Consider the following 22920-nt stretch of genomic DNA (forward strand, 5'->3'; position numbering starts at 1 on the left):
GACATATTTGTGCTAAAAGCCACCTGTAATTTCATACTGATCAAGAAGAAAACTACCAGATACCCCAGTCTCCTAAGACGGGGTCAGGACGAAGCCCTTCCCAGATGTTGCTGCAGTTGTGTGATGCACAGGGGCTTCTGCTCGTCCACATGGTTGGTGGACTATCTTGGCCTCTTTGACAGGAATCCACCGTCTCCTTCCCCTTTCCTGAACTGTAACCTCGGGTTAGTGATATTGCTCTTCTCTCTCTCTTGGTTATGGTGACCATTGAATGAGATTGCCAGGGACTTCTCATGACGGTCAGAACCCTAGGGATTACATAATCTACCCTGAACTTTGTAGATGAGGAAACTGAGGCCCAGGAGATACTTTCTCAGTCTGACATAGAGAGCAGCAGGAGAACTGGACCTAAAACCCTGACTTCCAGACACTCCACCACCCAGGTCTTCTCTTCTGTCTGAGAAAGCACCTTGAAAAGCATTCAGAGGTGTGCAGACATACCTGGGATTAGCTGGGTATGCTGTGAGCTTACAGTGCCAGAAGGTGTCTCAGATAGGTGTCCTCTGGGATTTAGGGCAGAGTGACCAATGGGGCGTCTGCAGCCACCCCTCAATTGGAGTCCCACAGGAGCTCAGGTCACCTGCCTTTCCCCTTTCTATGCTGTTTCCCAGAATTTATTTACTATGAATCCCAGCAGGTACCAAGCCCTAGACTTGTACTCCCCCACCCCACAACAACCCTAGCTTCCTCACCACTGCTCCCTAAAATCAGACAGCAACAGGGTCTGTACAATATGCATTTCAGCATGAATTTCCATGTTCACTCCCACAGTTCCCAAATGAGTCCAGCCCCAAGCGATAAGCTATGGGCCAGATGGGTTCTAGGAGGATGAACCTAGCAGCAGCCACCTCAGTGATAGGAATCAGGAGACTGGGTACTAAGGTTCAGAGTCAGGGTCAGGCACAGAAATGGAAAATGGTTGTCCAGGATGAGCAATTTGCCTCTCACGGTTTCTCAGGCCGTGGTCCTGACCTGTATCTTCCCCTAATCTCCCCGTCCCTGGGACTCACCCATGCATAAGAATTACGTTCAATAAAAACAAATATATAAATGAGGCCAAATTGGACAGTTACTTGTGAACACATTAATATTCAGACAGTTACCAGTCATATTAATGGGGAAATGTTACTGACCTGAGACCTTGTCGATTCTACTATTAGAAGTTGACTTTGCATATTTTTTAATTAATAAACCATGAAATACCTTATGTCCATAATGATTTAATTATACTTTTCTAAGAAAAAGCGATTTTAGACAAGGTTGACTTTTTTTTTAATTAGGAATGTTGCCCAGGAGGTAAATGAAATAAAAATATTCAGTTTTGAGAGAAACAAAATTCATGTTGCAAAGCCAGCAAATCTAAAATGATCATCTACTTAAATTACACCATTCTGATCAAGAATGTGAATCTCTGACTATAACTTGGAGCAGAGTAAGAGCTCATTTAGGCATCTCTCAGGTATTAGCAAAATTCATATTTCTTCCTTGAGAATTCTTACATTTTGCAAAAGCCTGAAGCAGCTAGGAATCGTCCTCTGGCCTTTCCTCAGATCTCTGTCCAGTGCTCGAGAATCCCAGTTGTTTATCTCACTAATTTTTTTGTTTGCCAGTATTTTATTGAAACAGTAGTGCAAGTAAAGTCCAGGAGCCAACTTCTTGCATCAGATTTACCAGGATTCTTGTTAAAAATGCAGATTCCTGTACCCCACACCTCACCTACTGGATGGAGATCTTGACTGGGGCTTGGTGCCTGGGAATCTGCATGTTAGTAATTTTTCGCAGGGTTATTGTACACTGTGTCCATTGAGAGACACTACTTTGACATATGTAGCTGGTGAGTCTAACTGTAATCAGAGATTTGAAAAGAGAAAAGCCACAGATAGAAAAGCAAACAGGGTCAGGTGCGGTGGCTCACACCTGTAATCCCAGCATTTTGGGAGGCCGAGGTTGGTGGAGGTCAGAAGTTCAAGACCAACCTGCCAACATGGCGAAACCCCGTCTCTACTAAAAATACAAAAATTAGCCGGGTGTAATGGCTCACGCCTATAATCCCAGCCACTCCGGATTCTCCTGCTGAGGCAGGAGAATCGCTTGAAGCTGGGAGGCAGAGATTGCAGTGAGCTAAGATCAGGCCATTGCACTCCAGCCTGGGTGACAGAGCGAGACTCTGTCTCAAAAAAACAAAACAAAACAAAAAAAAAGAGAAAGTCAGTAGCATGTAGATCAGGAGTGTCCAATCTTTTGGCTCCTCTGGAAGAAGAATTGTCTTGGGCCACACATAAAATACACCATCACCTAACGATAGCTGATGAGCTTAAAAAAAATCACAGAAAAATATCATAATGTTTTAAGAATGTTTATGAATTTTTTACAAATTTCTGTTGGGCCACATTCAAAGCTGTCCTGGGCCATATGTGGCCCATGGGCTGTGGTTGGAGCAGCTTGGTAGGCGCTGTGGTTCTTTTAAGTAATCCTATAGCCACCCTAGGGTTTACGATCCTCCTTTTTACAGCTGAAGAACCTGTGCAAAGAGACGGCATGACATGGCCACAGTCACACCGCCGGCATGCCTACAACCAGGATTTCAGTTCAGGACAAGCCGATTCCAGAGCCTTTGCTCTTGCTACTATGGTAGAAGGGACATGGCCTGCCCTCAGGGATTGAACTGTCCCGCTAGAGGGTCAGCTCAAATACACTAGGAATGGTTAAGGACTAGGGAGAGACCAAAGCATACAGTGCTGCTTGTAAGAACAGGAAAGAAGAGAGAGGGCTTTTCCTTCCAGGGGCAGGGGGAGGTGTAAGTCCATGAGTGAAGGTAGAAATCAAGCCTATCAATTGTGGGGCCAGTGAGAAGAGAGCGCCGAGTGGGACACAGGTTTTGTGAGGGCAGCCAGCTGGCATAACTTTTGTCATTATACTGTTAAGAGTTTTATCAACTGGCTACCGTCTAGCAAATGATACTAAAGAAGAGGTTTAAAAGCAGCAACTTTTCTTTGGTGATAGAGGCAAACTAGTAAATGTAATTATTACCATTAATTGAAAGTCAGAGAACAGAGCAAAATGAGCTTTATTCAAATTCTGATGGAAAACCTAGCCCATGAGTAAATGTAGACTCCTTTTTCTTTCCACTGCCATCCAAAATTGAAAACTACAGTGTTCCTTGGAGAATAAGCAATAAAATAATGATTATTATTAGCAAGTAGACAGCTAGCTACTTAACCAACAGATAGAGCACACAATAGCAGATGCAAACAAGTGTCTCTTTCTCACACGCAAGATTGTTCCCTGTCCCACACCATGACATGGGCTGGCCCAGTCACAGGAGAAACAGAACCCACTGACCAAGGACTCATGTTAAATGGTACACACGCACAGAAAATAGCATTTAAATACATTAAGTACAACCCTACTTGTTATTTGTTCCAGGCAGAAAGAAGACTGGGTGCCCTTATTTAATAAATATACTATTGTCTGGAACGATAAACACAAAGTTGTTGGCAAGCTGTTACCATGAGCCAATAAGGTGTAAGTTTTTAAAATCCTTTTTAAAACAAAGGACAGTCATACACCACTTAATGCTGGGGTTTCGTTCTGAGAAATGTGTCCTCAGGTGATGTTGTCTTTGTGTGAATGTCAAAGAATGCACTTACACAGCCAGGCGCGGTGGCTCATGCCTGTAATCCCAGCACTTTGGGAGACCGAGGCGGGTGCATCACTAGGTCAGGAGATCAAGACCATCCCGGCTAACACGGTGAAACCCTGTCTGTACTAAAAATACAAAAAAATTAGCAGTGGCGGGCACCTGTAGTCCCAGCTACTCGGGAGGCTGAGGCAGGAGAATGGCGTGAACCCGGGAGGCAGAGCTTGCAGTGAGCCGAGATCACACCACCGCACTCCAGCCTGGGCAACAGAGCGAGACTCCATCTCAAAAAAAAAAGAAAAGAATGCACTTACACAAACCTAGATGGTGTAGCCTGCTACGCATCTAGGCTACGCAGTATAGCCTATTGCTCCTAGGCCACAAATTGTACAGCATGTGACTGTACTGAATACTATAGGCAATTGTAACACAATGGTCAGTCAGTATTTGTGTATATAAACATATCTAAACCTAGAAAAGGTATAGTGAAAATAGAGTATGATAATCTTATGGGACCACTATGGTATATGTGGCCCATCGTGGACTGAAATGCCGTCATGTAGCACACGATCATACAGTATGCATATGGCAAAGTGCGTGCATCTGATGTGTACAGCTTGATGAGCTTTGACACAGATACATTTCCATGGCCCTTTCACCAAGATTGAGACACAGAACACTCCCTACATACACAAGGTAGCTAAGGGATGCGTGTTTTTCCTTTACTAAAGTTTTTTCTCTCATGTGTGTTTTATTTGTCACAATGGACAGTATTGCTTTTGTAATTTTCTAAAATTACAAAAGTAATCTAACTGCATTAAGTTAAGAAAATAAAGACTGTGGGTCTTTCAGTTGCTGAGAATGCTGGAAGAGAATGCATTTTCAGTTTTAGGTAGATTCTGTCATAGTTTCTTTGACTGATGAAGCCCCATCCACATCATGTTGTCTCTTCCTCCTCCTCCTCCCTAGGGACTGCAGTACATGGAGCTCATCCCCAAGGAGAAGCAGCCAGTGACAGGCACAGAGGGTGCCTTTTACCGCCGCCGCCAGCTCATGCACCAGCTCCCCATCTATGACCAGGATCCCTCGCGCTGCCGTGGACTTTTGGAGAATGAGTTGAAACTGATGGAAGAATTTGTCAAGCAATATAAGAGCGAGGCCCTCGGCGTGGGAGAAGTGGCCCTCCCGGGGCAGGGTGGCTTGCCCAAGGAGGAGGGGAAGCAGCAGGAAAAGCCAGAGGGGGCAGAGACCACTGCTGCTACCACCAACGGCAGTCTCAGTGACCCGTCCAAAGAAGTGGAATACGTAAGTTTCTCCCATGCTTCCAGCCAGGCTGAAACCATGCAGGCCCAGGGCTGGACAGTCAGGGCCCCATCACGGGGCTTTGTTCCCTCATTCATGCATTTATTCATGAATTTGTGCATTCAGCAGATATTGATTGCTCATTTAGTCTGTGCCAGGCACTGTCCCATGGAAAATGATACAATACCACTGCCCTTGAAAGGCTCATAGTCCAGTGGCGGTCACAGGCAAAACCGAAACAGTTTAGAGAAGGGACATCTAAGCCTGCTTGGTGGTGAGGGTAAGCTTCAAGAAGTTGGTGAGGTACAAGCTGGTCTACGAAGAATGTCTAGGGGTCATCCAAGCCTTCAGGCTTTGAGGGGAGGATGTGTACCCCCTTAAAGAGGTGAGCATTTGCAAAAAGAGCCAGGAGTTCAAGAAAGCACAGTGCATTTAGAAGATTAAAAGAAGTCCCACGTGATTGAAAGTGTGGCATGCTTGGGGAGCTGGGGACATGAGGCTAGGGAGGGCAGCAGAGGCTGGATTCCTGGAGGGTTCATTCCATCCATCCATTCATCAGTCAAATACTGATTAGCTTGTATTAGCTGCACTGCCCCAGGAAATCAAACAAGCAGAGGACACTGTCCCCAAACTGCAGAATGCCATGAACTTAGTTAGGACTTTATTCCAAAGGTCATAGACAGGCTTTTGGTCAGAGGTACATGGTCCATGCTGTGCTTACAAAAGTTTCCTCTAGCAGTGTCTTAGTACATTTTCTGTTACTTATAGCAGAATACCTGAAACTGGGTAATTTATAAAGAAAAGGAATGTATTTCATACATCTGTGGAGGCTGAGAAGTCCAAGGCCAAGGGGCTGCATCTGGTGAGGGACTTCTTCCTGGTGAGCACTCTCTGCAGAGTCCTGAGGTGGCTCAGGGCATCATGTGGCAAGGGGGCTGGGTGTGCTAACTCGGGTCTCTCTTCCTCTTCTTAGAAGCCAGTCCCACTCGTGTGATAACCCATTAATCTATTAAGCCATAAGTGGATTAATCCATTCCTGAGGACCTGAGCCCTCACGACCCAATCATCTCTTAAAGGCCCCACCTCTCAATACTGCCATGCAGAGGATTATGTTTCAACCTGAGTGTTTGGAGGGGATGTTCAACCCATAGGAAGTGGCAGTGTGGAAGAAGTGCTGCTGAGGAGTGAGTCACTGGGGGCCATTTTGAGAAAACAGAAAGGAGAAGCCAGAGTTGGGGAGATGAAAGCCTCATGGCTTGGTTTGTCTTAAACTGCCCCACAGAAGGCGAAAGGAATGCTTGAGGCTGGACCACGTGGGTCTAGCGTGTACTGCGTTTCTGGTCCCCAGCCCCTGTTTTACCTTTTGCTCCTCCTGCCCCATCAACCAAGTGTCTTCATTTGTTTCTATGGCAATTAACTTTTGGAGATAGAAGTCCCAGCACACGAGATCCCCAAGCACATTATCTACCTTGCTGAACAGGCTGGCAGTCACACATGAGCCAGGCGACCCAGGGAAATGCCAGCCCAAACAAAGCTGCTGCCACATCCAGAGAGGGCCGGACTCTTTCTCCCTTGTAGTCACTCAAGCTAATCATCCAAAACCTGCATCCTCCATCTCCAAGCCCCATCTTATTAGCACCATCTGGGATTGCCAACCAAGAAACTGTTTTATCTGAGAACTCTAAGACCAAAGAACAAGATTTATTTCCTCTACTACAGATTTGGCAGTGACGCATAAAAGGCCCATTTCTCAGGAAGAATACATGTCCTAAGGATGTAAAAAAGAAAAAAATATTAGATCTAGTTACCATGGTCTATAAACTGGTCTTTTCCCGCCCCACCCTGATCCTGGCTTCTGTCCACCCTCAAATAGCTGTTTGTTCATAAACCCTAAATACTAGATAATTCTAAGTTGGAAGGAGACCTCTAAGTCACTGTAGCATTTCCAAATCGCCATTCCCAAGAGACATGTGGATCTGACATCGTGTTTTATTCTTGACTGAGCCTCGCATATTTGTTCTGTGTGGAACAAAGGCAAAGGCAGCCCAAGAACCCGGGTCCTTGCCTACAGTCAGCTTTAGGAAATGATTGTGAACTTGGGAAGCATTTAAATAGCAATACTAGACAGTAAATGGAAAAGGCCAAAGTCAGAAAATAAGTAGGGATTCCAAAGGAAGCCTTTATTGGTTGGGCTAGGCTGGGCTAGCTGTGGAAGATAGACTTCTATGTCCCTGCCCCAACCACAATTTTACTTTAATTATTATGTAATTAGTGAATCGATGTCTGTCACCGTCTGTAGATGCTGAGGTCTTGTTCATCTCTTTATTTGCATTGATATACATAGCCATTGCTCAATAAATATGTGACCCATGAATGAAAGTTTGAACTTAAGCCTTAAAAAATGGGATCTATTTGGATGGCCAATTTGCCTAGGCGGACGGTGCGATTCCAGTTCCACATTTATTAAGCCCCTGCTCTGTGCCAAACACTATGCTCACACTGTCAGGGTCTATCTTTAATTCTTACAGTTGTCTGGTAGGATGAATTTTACCAAACCCATTTTACAGGTGAGATTCAAGGATAATAGGTAACTTTTCTAAGATCCCACGGTTTCTATGGGGCAGAACCTGGATCCAATACCCTTTCTGTGATAAGATGCTAAGTTGTAAAACCCGGCTTGTTATTTGTTCCAGGCAGGAAGAAGACTGTGTGCCCTTATTTAACTCCCTTTTTACCTCCTTGAAGCAGGGGAGGTAATCCTGAAAAGGGTAGCTAGATAGGCTGACAGGCCACAGACAGTGTGTTCCCAGCAACCCCGCCATTAGGAGTGGGTGTGGGCTGCACTCCCTGACCCGTCTGCCTTGCCTCACCAGCATTCACATCAAGTGGACGTGTGTGCTGGCTGCCCTGTATGCTTGCACCCTCTCCTTTCTCATAAAAGGGCAGCATAGAACAATTACCAGAGCCAAGCATCAGGCAGGAAGCCTGACTTCTGCTCCCCTGGTAAAGGGCAATGATTTTTGCAAGAAGTGGTCCAGGCATTCAACTTGAGAATAAAGGTGTGGGGAAGAAATTGTAGGACTCAGCCTGACACCCCAAAACCGAACAGAGATTAACGGGAGAAAAACGAAGGGCAAAAAGAGACATGAACATACGGGAACTGTATCGGTAACACCTGCCTGTTTATCATCTTAATCGTGTTCGTTGTGTTTGTCGTTACTGTCAGCAAGTCCGTGGGCATTGCCTGAACCAAGGACAGGACTAAGCAAGTATCTGATTTAAAGCTTACAACTGCCCCAAGATGTGAAGTGGCTGTGCCTCCCCAGGCTGCTGGGCCTCAGAACTGGGATTCAGTTGAACGTCTGCCTAAAATCAAGTCTATGTTCTTTCCCATTTCCCAAAGCTTATTCCTGGGAGAGCTACCAGATATTCTGGACCATAAAAGGATCATGTGGCTGGCTCAGGAGACGTTAGAGTGAACATGAAACTACGTGAGTTTCTTTACAGCAGAACTTCTCAGAGCCTTTAGTAGGCCTATGCTGTGGTCCTTACACTGAAATCACCTGGAAGGCTTGTTCAACTCCAGAAGGCTGGGTCCCCTTCCAGAGCTTATCAGTAGGTGTGGGGTGGAGCCTTAGCATGTGCATTGCTAACAAGTCCTCGGGTGATGCTGGTCTGGGGCTACACTTTGAGGACCGCTGCTAACAGTGTTAAAAAGTGCCTTACATGTGAGCTCAACAGAAATGATATCACCAATTTGGCCTATAGTGAGAGTCTAGATGGTAACATGGGCATTTTCCAGATGTATTTGGCCTGCTGGCTCTATGTATGTATGTATTTTGAGATGGAGTCTCACTCTGTCGCCCGGGCTGGAGTGCAGTGGCACAGTCTCGGCTCACTGCAAGCTCCGCCTCCGAGGTTCACGCCATTCTCCTGCCTCAGCCTTCCGAGTAGCTGGGACTACAGGCACCTGCCACCATGCCCGGCTAATTTTTTGTATTTTTAGTAGAGATGGGGTTTCATCGTGTTAGCCAGGATGGTCTCGATCTCCTGACCTCGTGATCCACCCGCCTCAGCCTCCCAAGGTTATGTATGTATTTATTTATGTGGGATAGGGGGTGGATTACCCCAAGCGAGCCCACCTTTGAGAATACTGCATAACCCTCCCTGTTCCTGGAGAGCTCTGGAAGCACAGGTGCAGAATCTACCACACTATGCTCTGTAACCTACCTTGACGGCCCCCATCCCTGATGACACTAAGTCTCTGCAATCTGAGGCCAGGGCCCCACTTTCCCCTACACCCACCCCCCGACACACACACCAGCTGTGAGCTCCCTCGGCTCCCTCCCACCTTGTCCACCTGCTGGGGGACGTCCTTCCTCTGAGTCCTTGGGAGGTGGCCTATTGGAGCAATGGCAGGGTCAGCCTGCCAAGTTCTCCCACCCAGCCCCCCACCTAACCATCCTCATTGGAAAAAAATGTCCACACCAGAGAAGCGTTATTGCAAAAATGCCTGTATGGAATTCCTACTAAGGGGCCATGTTCTGAGTGAGCCCAGATAACAGTGGTGGCCAGGTTGCAGGACACACTGCTGTCTGAGCCCAGCCCACCTGCATGGCCGGGGCTGTCAGTTACACAGATCTGAACACAGTGAGCAGAATCTGACCCCACCCCCAGCTTCCCAACCCCAGGCCAGCAGACGGGCCCTACTGACGAGACGGGGCCACCTAAAATTAGCCTTGGCACCTCGGTCCACTTCAGAAATGAACCAAAAGCTGTGGCTGTCCATGCCTACCTCAGGGCAGTCCTCTGAAAGTGTTATTATTACACTGAGGTTAGGAGAGGCAGGATATCATGGGAAGGTCCTCCGGCCACCAAGTTGTCAGAGTTGCCCTCTTCATGGGGCAATACCAAGCCTGAAAAATCCCAGTGCCAGATGCTACTGCACCCACTGTCACCCCTGAAGAAGCGAGCCCTTTTCCATCAGTGAGGCCAATACAATTCAAAAATATTTAGTCTCCCTCTTTTCCTCACATGTCCCATTGTGCGGGGATGGAGGGTAGGAAAGAAGACAAGTTGAGAATCAAGGGAAGAAAGGGGAAACTGTGAGGCTGCAGCAGGCACTGTGTAAGGTCTCAATCTCTTTATTTTTATTTTTTTAGATACACGGCTCTCACTCTCTCACCCAGGCTGGAGTGCCGTGGCAGGATCATAGCTCACTGCAGCCACAAACTCCCGGGTTCAAACCATCCTCCCGCCTCAACCTCCCAAGTAATAAACCTCTTTAACTCTTGGTAACAACCAGTGAGAGAGGTTGGGGTTGTGATACCCATTTCGCAGATGAGGACCCTGGGGCGCAGTGAGGTTACCCCACGTGCTGATGAGAGCGGGGCTTCGGTTCAATCCCCAGTCCTTCTGCTTCACCGGCAGAGTGAAGTCTGAAGCCGTGTTGGGGTGGGGCCTCGGCAGGGTGGGTCCGACCATGCCAGGGGATATATATGTGAGTGTTTAGGTTCTCCAGGGTGGGCAGCCGTGTATGGGGTAGCTTGCAGCTCAGCCCACTGAGCATTTGGGAGCCTCTTATCTGCGTACTGAGAACAATGAAAGGATTCCCATGTCCACCCCCAGTTCCACCCACTGTGGGTTCTTGTGGGCCTTTTGAGTATCAGAGATCTCCGTGGCCAGGGAGCTGCCGACTCCAGCAACCTGGACCCATTCACACCAGGCTGGTGGGAGCCCCTCGCGCACTCTCCAAGCCCTGCGCTCCCCACCTGGATGGAACTGATGGGCCCCTGAGCTGGGTGGGCAATGATCTTCATGTTCTGACTCTTAGCAGCTCCACCAAGCCATTGCCTTGCGTTTAGAGAGCTCGCTGAATATTTTCTCAGAAATTAAATACACAGATTTCCCGGGTATGGTCATTTTGCCCAGGAATTTCCGCCTTTCTCCACACCCCGAACTTGTAACTGAAGAAAGGGGAAAGAAAGCCAGAGCATAGCCTTTAATGTGATCTCTACTCTTTAGCATTTACCATTCCTGCCGGGCGCCTCCCCGTCTTGCCCCTTCCCCAACCACTCCTTCCTCAGGCCAAGTGACTGCCCCAAAAGAGCAAACTTAAGAGGAGGACAGCCCATTGAGAGAAGTGAAGATGTTCCCCACAGTCATAAAAACGCGTGAATATGGTCCGAAATCATCCTCCAGGATCCTGGGAGCACAGTCTGACCCCTCTGCCCCATTTCCCCACAAGAATGCTGAGAGGGGGACGGGAGGCCTCCGTCCCCTCCCTCCCCCCCGCCAAAGGTCTGCTTTTCAGATGGAAACTTACAGCAGCTGGCGGCTCAGCCCAACTCCAGCCCCAATAGAAGGACATATTTGTGGGCAAGGGACTTCCAAGTCTTTGTCTAAGCAGATGTTTGGCTTGTGGGCTCGGCAGGCAGGCTGGCTGGCTTTCCTGCCAGCCCCACTTGGGAATTTGAAACTGCCACTCCTCCCCACTTAGTGAGCCCCATCTGAGCTGGAGGACAGGAGGGTAAGAGGCCCAGAGACAAGCCTGGGGTCATTCACCCAGAGGAATCCCTGCTCCCCACAGTCCCGCCACCCCTGGCTCAGGCACCATGGGCAGGAGCCTGGGGGCAGCCGCAAAATCACTATGGTTACCAGCTTCTCGGCATCTGCCTGCCTCTTGCTTTGCAGTGGAGATACTTTAGTGACTTTCAGGGAGATCTTTTTTTTTGTTCCAAAGAAACTTCCCTTTCTCCCACTTTTTATACTATACTATAAATACTTTTCCATGTTGCCACATGGCCTTCAACGAGCTTTTTTTTTTTTTTTTTTTTTTTTGAGTGGGCTGCATATTATTCCATTGATTAAAACAGGGATTGGTAAACTTTTTCTGTACAGGGCATATAGTGAATATTGAAGGTTTTTCAGGCCACATGGTCTCTGTCACGACTAATTAACACAGCTCTTGAAGCACTAAAGCCGCCATAGGCAATATCTAAACAGATGACCCTGGCTGTGTTCCAATCAAACTGTATTTACATAAACAGGCGGTGGGCTAGATTTGGCCCACAGATGGATGCAGTTTGCTGACCCCTGAACTGGAAGAATCATAAAGAATAGTTTTAGCTTTTTATTAATCTCTTTGGTTTTACTCAATTTTGTTTTGCTAATATGAGCTAAATGATGACGATGATGATGATGCTGTCATCTCCCATTCATTGACTACCTAGGTTATGCCAGGCACTGTGCCAGATATTTTGCATGTTATTTTACTTAATCCTAAGAATTATCCTACAAAGTATATCATCCTCCTTTTTACAAACAAGGGAATTAAAAGACACTCTTAGCAAAGTTAAACAGTGTTTTCAAACTTCAGGTCACAATCCGTCAGTGGGTAATACATCAATTTAGTGGACTACAACCAGAATTTTTTTTAACTGAAAAGGGAAGAGTGTTTCAGGAGTAGTAAATATTTTTCCAGGAAGCTTTTTTTTTTCAGGAGTGTGTGTGTGTATGTGTGTGTGTGTTGGATCAGGACGTGTAATGTATTTGCTACTGTGGATTACAGACAAAAACAAAAATTTCAAAAAACAAAGCTGAGGAAATTGTCTAGTCACCTAGATGGTGAGTAGTTAATCCAGAACTAGGATCCAGACCTGCCTCACTCCAAACCTGACACAGACTCTAATTAACAGGTGTTCCCATCTCTGGAGCACCCACGCAGTTCTAAGCCCCGGGCAAAGCCGTTGCAATTGGAATGAACACATCTGAGACTCCGTCCCTGCTCAGCTGTGGACCAAGCAGCATCCTTTTGCAAGGAGCCAGTCCTTGGGCCCATGCTTGTCAGAGCTGGATTTGAGAACAACCCACACTGATGTTCTCTTACACGTGTAGCATTTATGAAGCCTTTCCATCTCCCTCACTTCATCACATAACCAGGGAGGGAGATTCAGTTAGAAATGTTTAATATTTTGCCTTGCTTGGCAGAGAGCCCCATAATGGATAATCTGCCCCAAGAAGAAATGTAAGGTGAAGGGGTCAGTTAACAGTAGTGACCACCAACACCAGGCTAAGGCATTTCGTATGAGCCAGGGCCTGCCACGATGTGCTACAGATGAGAAAACTGAGGTTCAGAGGGTTGGATGATTTTTCCAAGAGCTTCACCAGTGATGAAGCCATGGCATGAACCATGTTCCAAAGCACATGACCCAAACCGTTGCCTACCCACCCTGCCCATTCTGCACCATAGGGAGCCTTGGGAAGACTATACAGTGTGGGGAAACAGAACTCAAGAGAGCTAAAGATGCCAGAAATGATGTTAGACTACAGAAGAAAGAAACACACACATAAAAACCTCTGGGATACATGAGGCTGCAAAGCAAAGATGGTAAATAGTCACCATAAGAGGAAATGGAGAGATGCTGTTTATAAACAAATTGTTGAGTATTTGTGTTGGAAAGAACCCAGTGCCTGAATTCAAGGCCCTTGTGTTAATATTTACTGTATTGTAGTAGTGAGATTTCCACGAGGCACTCTGGGTTTAGACTGGATAGGCCTTTGGATAAGAGCCTTTTGGAGGAAAACAACACAATTCAGACAGAACTTCTGGCAAACCCGAGACAGAGATTATTGCTGATTTAGAGCCTTCTCATATCTGCTGATCCCTCTCTGAAGGCCAACACAGTTCAGTCCTTCGAGACAGTTCTTCAGCTGAGTAACCCTTGGCCATTGTCCCGAGTCTGCTGTTGCCTAAAACACTTTGTGTCTTGGTTACTCCTATTTCAGAAACCTTAATAATTCTGCATGTACACATTTGATGTTTCTGTCACCTAGGGCTGCATATCAAAGCATCCCAAGGCATATGGCTGAAACCAACATGTATTTTGCTCACAAATCACCATTTTGGCAGGGTTCAGTGAGGACAGCTTGTCTCTGTCCATTCGGTGTCACTTGGAGGAGCTTGCAGGCCAGAGACTGGAATCACCTGAAGCTCGTTCACTCATGTGCTTGAGCTAGAGGCTGGGAAGACACACACAGCAGGGACCCTCCATTGACCTCCTTGACCTCCGAGGTCTCTCCACGTGGTTGCCCTCAGATGGAAGCTTCAGGATACCAAGACTTCTTTCCTGTCAGCTGAGGGCTCCCAAGGTGTGTGTACTGAGAGAGAGAGCCCAGGGGAAAACACTGCCTTTATTACTACCCTGGGAGCTGCATAGCATCACTTCATCCATGTTCTGTTCTATAGAATTGAGTCACTAAGGTGGGACCATATTCATGGAAAAGGAATTAAATTCTATGTTGGTTGGAAGGGTATCCAAGAAATTTGCCAACATGACTTAAACACCCATGGCTGAGGGAACCCCACAACTCTGCAGGGTCTTAGCTTTTGAGCAGCTGAATCTAAAATGTTCCTCAGCTTTCTTGAGGCAGGTGTTTACAAATTGCAAAGGCCCCAATATTCAAAATCTTTCATTTCAATTAAGAATCTCATGCCATTAGAATAAGGAACAAGGCAACACTTTACTGGCACAGGAAGAAACTTCCCATTTGTTCTATTTCTGAAAGGTTTGTTTCACACATCCTCTACCCAGGTGGGAAATAGTCTGCAAACAAGGTCACATGACAAATGTTGGAAACGTTCTCACGAGCAAGCTCCAATCTTAGATATTTGGGAACATGAACAAGAAACAACTGATATGCTAATTATAAAGCATTCTTCTCCATGCCTTTTACCATAGTCCCAAAGAACTTCCATTTGACCATACTAGCTCCTTAATAGGGGAAGTAACCTGAGAATGGCCTCATTGGTCTTTCTTAAAAAATAGTGTTGAGTTTAAACATCCCAGGAATTCAAATGAGCCTTTGTTGTAACTGAACTGAATTGGTGATATCAGTTTTGCTGAGCTTATGTATAAAGTTATTTTTAAACAGTCTATAACAGCGGTTCTCAAAGTGTGGCCCCAACCACACCAGCATCCCCTAGGAACTTGCAAATTCTTGTGCCCCACCCCAGATCTACTGTATCAGACACTGTGGGGAGGTGGTGGCGGTGGGGGAGCAGAGATATGTTTTAACCAGCCCTCTAGGGGATACTGAGGCAGGCTCAACCCTGAGAACCACTGTCTCCAGGGGCAGGATCAGATATGGGGAGGAGCAGGCCCTCCAAGCAGGGGATGAGTGGAGCTGAGTCTGGAGCAGTGGCAAATGATGAAAAACTCACACGACTCGATTCTCTGGCCTTGCACAAATGGAGAGAACTGATAGGGGAAAAAATAGAGCTCATCAGTGGCAGGAATGACTTCCTGCTAGTCTACATGCCCTTGGTATCATGGAAGGAAATCCAGGCCTCCAAACCTGCCTTCAACATATCTTTGTCATTTTAGGAAAGTGGTTTAATCCCTCTGGGCTTTACATTTCTAGCCTGCAAGGTGGGCAGAGTTAAGGAATACACGAGATTTTAGCAAATCATTATTGAGCCCTTATAAAGTCCAAAAATTCCATTATGTCATTTAACTCACACCACAATCCTATGAGGTTGCTATCATTACTATCGCCATTCAACAGGTGAAAAAACAGAGGCACAGGTAAGTTAGTTCATTTGCCCAAGGTCACACAGCTATGAACCCAGGCAGTCTGACTTGGTATCTCCCCTCTCAGCCACCTGTTGCAATTTAGAAATTGCAAACCTCGCTACAAAGAATTGTGGGAGAGACTAAGTTTGTGCTGAGAAAGGGCCAGGATGATGAGACCCAAGTAGGCTGGCATTCTGACTCTCGGCTGCTAGCTTGTCTCTCGTGGCTGAGGGACCACCAGACGATAGATCCAGGACAACCTCAGGTCTCTCATCCTTTGAGATGACTGAGTTAAGGATACAGAAAATGGCTTAGAGGCAAGAAGAGCACATTTCATCCTGACACATGTTGAGAGGGCTCCTTACCTGGACATCTTGTTTTCATGGAGTGATAATGATACTGTTTGCTTAAAGGGGCTGGCTACTGGTAGAAACCAGTCCAAGAGCCAGGGATGCTAGGGAGAACAGTGAGGGAAGAAATGCTCCTCCAAGAGGGGCTTCACAAAGTGCTTTCCAACGGATGAGAAGGTTGCAAACAAGCTCTGTGAACAAGAATTTTCCTTCCTTCCTTCATACTGCTGCGAGAATATCTCCCTACAGTGCAAATTAGAACCTTGAACTCCTCATCTCAAGAACCAGTAACGGGTTAGGTGCAGTGGCTCATGCCTATAATCCCAGCACTTTAGGAGGCCAAGGCGGGAGGATCCTTTGAGCTCCGGAGTTCAAGACCAGTCTGCGTAACATAGTGGGACCCCATCTCTACAAAAAATTTAAATATTTTTAAAATGTCTTAAAAAGAACCAGTCGTGGCTACCCATTGCCTCCAGAGTGAAGTCCCAACCCATAACCTGGGTTCAAAGCCACCCATGATCACCCTAAACTGCCTTTTGGACCTGATATCCCCCTCCTTCCTTCAGTGTATCATCAGGGTGCCTGCCGGTGCTCCCCAGACCAATCCAGGTGCATTTCTATCCCTCTCCCTTTCCCTACTTTCATGTCAATTCACATTTGTAAATGTGGAGTGGGGAGCCCCATTGATATATCATGGTGTTACCCAATGGGGTGTAGTTTGGTGAACTGACACGAAGTCCCTTTTGTGTGGGAGGGAAAGAGCTGGAAATTTCATTCTGTAGAAATAAGAAGCCAGACAGACAACTCACTTTGTATTCAGACAGCCCTGGCCAAAGAGTTTACAGTTCCCAGCTATGCAGGAGGGAGGGTGAAAATAAGTAGATGATGACTGGTCACTGATTTTTTGTCTAGACCCCCTGATGGGCTCCAAGCCAGCTGAGTCTCAATCATGTGAAGAGGAACAGGGTTTTCATTTGAGCGAAAAACTCACACCACTCATTCTTGGGGGTGTAACTGAAACCACAAATCTAGCATGTTCTAAGGAACATTATCAGGCACAGTCAGGATCCAGTTCAAGATATATCTAGTTGACCAAACACATTCCTTATATAGGCAGTCATTCAAGAGCTCCTACGCTCAGAAACTGCTATCAGTACATGACGTTCCTTGTTATTCAGTGTTCTTTTCCTAATTTTCACCATTTTAATGTTTATTTCCTCTTCAATATATGAGTATATTAAGTATGTAATCAAAGTATATAAGTTAAGAATAGTAAGTGTGCAAACTCTTATGTGCTTCCCTGTCTTCACATGGCAAAAAAGTAAATATTTCTATTTTGGCTGAAACATAGTTGATACTTACTAAGTTTAAATTAGCATCTAAAGCCAGGCTCAGCAAACACTTTCTTTGGAGGGCCAGGTGATAAATATTTTAGGAGATGTGAGCCAAGAGCCAAAATTGCAATATCATGTGGGCACTTTATGTAACAAGAGAGAAAACAACTTTCCATGGGTTTTTTAAATGAAATTCAAAAGATAATAATAATTGAGCACAGAGTTTTTTTTTTTTTTTTTCCAATATAGGTCTACTAATGAGAAAAGCAGAAGGGGTTCTTTCTTGGGAGAAAACATTTCACTGAATTGGAGGGCAAATGTAAAATCCAGTCTTCATTCTCATGGGGCTTGCGAGAACAGACAGTGGCTGGGTTTGGCCATGGGCCGTAGCTTACTGATGCCGGATCTCAAGTCCACATGATGGAGTAGAAAGAACTTTGGCTTTGGAGTCAGGTTTGGCCTTTGTTCAAATCCTAGCTTTGCCTCCCATCAGCTGTGCATTACTGAGCAAATCACTGAATCTCCCTGACCTTCAGTTTTGTAATTTCTAAGAGAGAAGATAATGATTTTCCGAATAGAAAAATAACTCTAGAAGGAGAAATAACTCTCTCGGGCTTATGTAAGGGGTAATAGTAATGCGAGCAAAGTCCTGAGCACAGTGCTGGATGCAGACACGCTGTAGGGACATGACAGCCATTGTCGTTTCCATCATCATCGGGGCTTACAGGAGCAGGGGATAACTCCAAAATGACTCAAAAGATTGTGTGGATTGAGAATGTCAAGTTCCCATTCTTTAGAGGATGAGAATAGGCAAGTTATAAATGTGCGATGGATGGATACCTGAATGAACCAGTGAATGAATGAGCATTTAGCAACTTTCACTGCTCCTGGGAACTGGCAGAAGACAGAAATCTAGAGCTCTCACAGAGAACTTCTCCCAGGCACACTCACCCTCCCCACAAAGCCCCAATCCTAACTGAAGCTGAGGAACAACATGAGTTGAGGTCCACCTTGTCATGGTTTCTGAGCAGGCCAGTGAAAATGTTACTGGCAGTAAAAGACAGATAAAGGAGCCCCAGATGGAAAGAGGATGACAAACAGCCAGGCACTGGCTACATTAACTGCTGAGAGGCCCTGTAGGGAAGCTGCTTCTCACCTCTAGCCATTGGGCATGCTGCTCCTTTGCCATGCCAGAATGCATTCTCCTGGGAGCCCTCCTAGCCCTTCAGACAATTCCCTGAGTTTAGTCTCCCCACCCGACCCAGCTCAGTTCCCATAGAAAGCCACAGAGCCAAGGGCGGCAGTTTGAATCCCAGCTCTGTTTCTTGGCTGTGCCCCCCTTCACAAGCTATTTTGTCTCCTTGGGCCTCGCTGGTCTTATCTATAAAATGAGTGCATTTCCTGTGTACCTACATCTCCTATCCAGAGGATTGCTGTGAGATAAATAGGAATGTGGTTGATCCCTAGAGCCCCTCATCCCTCAGAGAGGCCTCTCCTGCTAAGGTGGTCCCTGCTATCCACCCCCAAAGTCACTCTCCATTCCCTTACCCTGTGATTGTTTTCCTAGTATTTATCACACTCCATGATTATCTCATCTGTTTTTTTATATATTTATTTTCTGCCTCCACACACACAAAGCTCCAGTTTCCCTGAAGGCTCTGGCATTATCTGCCTGGGTCACTGCTGTATCCCCAGCATCTAGTCCAGGGCCTAGCACACAGTAGATGCTCAGTAAACATGGATGAGCCCCTGAAAGGCAAGAGTGTTTTGAAAGCTCCCAAGAACTTTCCACAACTGTCTCTGGAGCCCAGCTCTCTGCTGCACTTAGTCTAAACCTGTCTCTAAGGTGCAGACAGATGCATCATCTGCTAGTGTCTTCCACACTCATCTGTTGTCCCCTAAGTAGGAAGTATGAGGTGGGAGGGCAGAGGTTTCCAAATATTTATTGTTCATCTACTATGTGCCTGGCACCGAGGAGATGTGAAAGCAAGCATAGTTGGATGTGGCTCCTGCTTCCATCTAGTGTAGAAAGAACAGGTATCAAACAACCATACAGAGAAAGGTAAGCAGAGAAGCTTTATTATGGACTTAATTGCCCCTGGAAGGAGGTCAGAGAAGATTTCCCAGAACCAAAGATCTTTAAGTCTCACATCTGAAGAATGAAAGGGAGTTAATCAGGCAAACAGGAACGGGAACAATGTACCAGACATCCTGAACAGCAACGGCAAAGGCCTCATGGCAGGGTGGAGCATTCCTTCATTCAGCAACTATTGATGGGGAATTTATGTGTGCGGGGCCCAGTAGAGGGTCCTGGGTCAGAGCTGCAACCAAGCAGCCTCTCTCTGCCCTCTGCAGCTAGCCGCTTAGTGGAGAGAACAGATATAAATTAGATAATTCCATAGGTATTTAAAAAATAATGTTAGCTAACATACATGGAGTCCTTTTGGGGGATCTGCCAAAATCATGCATGGGTTCCAAATAACTTATGTAGATACTTGGCCCTGGAGGAGATGGAGCACTCTTTAGACATGGAGGGCTTGGTGACTTCCTTCCAAAGAGGATAGTATGGAAGTGGGGAGAAGAGTCACTTTACAGTGAAGAATCTGACAAACACTGCCTCCACCAGAAGGTCAAAGTCAACCGCAACAGTGACAAGTGAGGGCGACAGTATGTACCCTTGAAGGATGTGATAAGAGGAGCAGTTTGCCCCGTGATCTTCCTCCCAACGTACTCATCATAGTAACATCAGGCAAATCCCAACTGAGGGACATTCTACAAAACACCTGACCAGTACTCCTCAAAACTGTCATGGTGGCCAAAAACAAAGTCTGAGAAACTGTCCCAGCTAGGAGGAGCCTCAGGAGACATGACAGTTAAGTGAATCTGGGATCCTGGAATAGAAAAAGGACATTGGGTAAAGTTTATGAACACGTGAATAAAGTTTGGACTTTAGTTAATAATAGCATATCAATATTGGTTAATTAATTATGACAAATATACCTTATTAATGTAAGATGCTAATAACTCAAGAAACTGAGTGTGGAATATATAGAAATTCTCTGTGCTGTTTTTGCAATTTTTCTGTAACTCTAGAACTACTCAAATATTATTATTATTATTATTTGAGACAAGGTCTCACTCTGTCACCTAGGCTGGAATGCAGTGGCACGATCATAGCTCACTGCAGCCTCAAACTCAAACTCCTGGGCTCCAGCAGTCCTCCCACCTCAGTCTTCTGAGTAGCTAGGACTACAGATGAGCACCATCACAACTGGCTAATTTTTCAATTTTTTTGTAGAGATGGGGTCTTGCTATGTTGCCCAGGCTGGTCTCAAACTCCTGGCCTCAAATGATCCTCCTACCTCCAGTTCCCAACGTGCTAGAATTAAAGGCATAAGGCACCACTTCTAGGCAAAAATATTATTTATTAAATATTATTTAAAACTCTTCATGCACGGGTAAAAAGATCCATTCAAAGTGCAAGGTAAACAAACAGGTTTTAATGTAAACAAATATGAAAGGTTCACTGATGTGCTTTCAGATTTCACACTGCAACTAACTTGAGAAAGTATCCTGTGTCAAATTTTACTGTAGTATCAAAGAAGAATATCCACAGTTGCCTGGAAGGTCCTTTAAAATGCATCGTCCTCCTTTTTCCAACTTTATGTCAGTGTGAGTTCAGATTTTCTTCATGTATTTCAACCAAAACAACAGCATGCAAAAGATGGGCTGCAGAAGCAGTTATGGGAATCCAGCAATCTTCTGCAAGTCATTGAAGAGATTTGCAGATATATAAAACAATGTCTTAAAATTTTCTTCTACTTTTTTTGTTTTGAAACATATAGTTATTTTAGTAACAAGATAGGTATGTTAATGTATTACAGGTTTAGTATTGTCATTTTTAAATGAATTAAAAAAATTTAAATTGTTCTCAGTTTTAATTTCTCTTATGGTAAATATCAATAGCTATTACCCACATGAACAAAAACTCTGTAGGGGTCTTGATAATTTTTAAGAGTATAAAGGGTACTGAGACCAAACAATTTGGGAATCACTGTGCTAAATAAATAACTTTATTTAGTCCTCGTGAATAGCCTGTTAGGTAGGCAATATTATTGTGTCGCTTTGCAGATGACAAAACTGAGGCACGAAGAGGTATAGTGACTTGCCCAAGGTCACCCAGGAAGTAGAAAGGCTGGAGCTGGAATTCGAACCCATGTCACTGTGCTCTCCTGACTTCCTTGTCTCCTATGGTCCTTCCCCATCCTTCCAGGTCTGCGAGCTCTGCAAGGGAGCGGCCCCTCCTGACAGCCCCGTGGTCTACTCGGACAGGGCAGGCTACAACAAGCAGTGGCACCCCACCTGCTTTGTGTGTGCCAAGTGCTCCGAGCCGCTGGTGGACCTCATCTACTTCTGGAAGGATGGTGCACCCTGGTGCGGCCGCCATTACTGCGAGAGTCTGCGGCCCCGGTGCTCCGGCTGCGATGAGGTGGGAGATAGCCGCGAGATGGGTTAGGGGGCTTGAGGGACACTGCTGAGGGTAAAAGCCCAGAGGCCAAGAGGAGCATGGCTTTGTGGATGATGTGTTCTACAGATTGGGAAACTGAAGTCAGGCCTCACTGCATGCTCTCAACCTTCATTTTCTCATCTGCAAAATGAGGCAGACAACCATGGGATTGTTGGGAGGGGTCAGACACAGTGCCGGTGAATCTTGTCCTTGGCATAATGCCTAGCACTTAGTAAGTACTCAGAACATAGCAGGATGAACCAGGAGGCATTGCCCACGTTCAAACCTGTATCTGCATCTCTTATTATTATTATCATGTGGTTACCTAACTCCGGAGCCTCAGCTGAGTCTCAGTTTTACTACTTATAAAATAGGGATGAGACCAGCGCCCATCCCATAGAGTGGCTATGAGGATAGATGAGATAATGCATGAAAATGCTTGCCACAGGGCCTGACCTAGGAACTTATAAATGGTAGCTGCTGTTAGTCTTACGATAATATACTATAATATGAGACTTAACATTAATATGACACAATACAATACAATATGATAGAGATGCTATGAAAGAGATTCAAGTCTCTGATACTGGTTTGATGAAAGTAACTCTAAGGTGTATTAATAATGGCAATACTAATTATGATCATAGTATGTACTATTTGCATGCCTTTGGTTGCAGGCAATATACTAACTTCATCTTTGGCATGTATGAAGGTTAGAAATGTCTTCTTTATATTGAACCAACATCTATTTTCTACCACCTTCTACGAATTGGTCACCATATGAAGTTAAGACCCTGTAGTCCTCTTACCTAATAACTCTGTTATTAAGTGATATTAAGAAGGAAAAGGACTGTCACAGGCCTGCCCTGGAGCCTCATTTTTGAAGTGACAACAGTATATGCACAATAACAATTCTCTATCATTTATTAAGGGCTTACGGTGGGTCAGTAATTTGCTACATACTTTACGTACAACATGCTATTTATATCACAACAATCCTTTAGGGAGAGATAAGCATGATTTTTTCTCATTTCACGTTTAAGAAAAGTGCAGCTCTGAAAGGTCAATGCTAATTAGATAGCCCTGACTTTGTGTCAGTCAACATTCTAAGCCTTTCATATGTAGTTGGTCATTTGGCAATCATAGAACCTTG

The 22920-nt window shown here is 45.5% G+C and overlaps 1 protein-coding gene across 4 annotated transcripts in view; it reads left to right on the forward strand.

Moving 5' to 3' along the window:
- Positions 1–22920, forward strand: part of LMCD1 (LIM and cysteine rich domains 1) — a 72846-nt gene that overhangs the window by 42076 nt on the left and 7850 nt on the right. For 3 of the 4 annotated variants that reach the window (NM_014583.4, NM_001278234.2, NM_001278233.2), the window contains 2 exons: positions 4670–5005; positions 21534–21749. In NM_014583.4, coding sequence (NP_055398.1) covers positions 4670–5005; positions 21534–21749 — 552 coding nt within the window. Of the gene's footprint in view, positions 1–4669; positions 5006–5975; positions 7377–21533; positions 21750–22920 lie in introns of those variants that run through there. The other variant, NM_001278235.2, reaches the window with a different exon arrangement.

This window comes from Homo sapiens, chromosome 3, assembly GCF_000001405.40.
Source record: "Homo sapiens chromosome 3, GRCh38.p14 Primary Assembly".
Taxonomy (NCBI): Eukaryota; Metazoa; Chordata; class Mammalia; order Primates; family Hominidae; genus Homo; species Homo sapiens.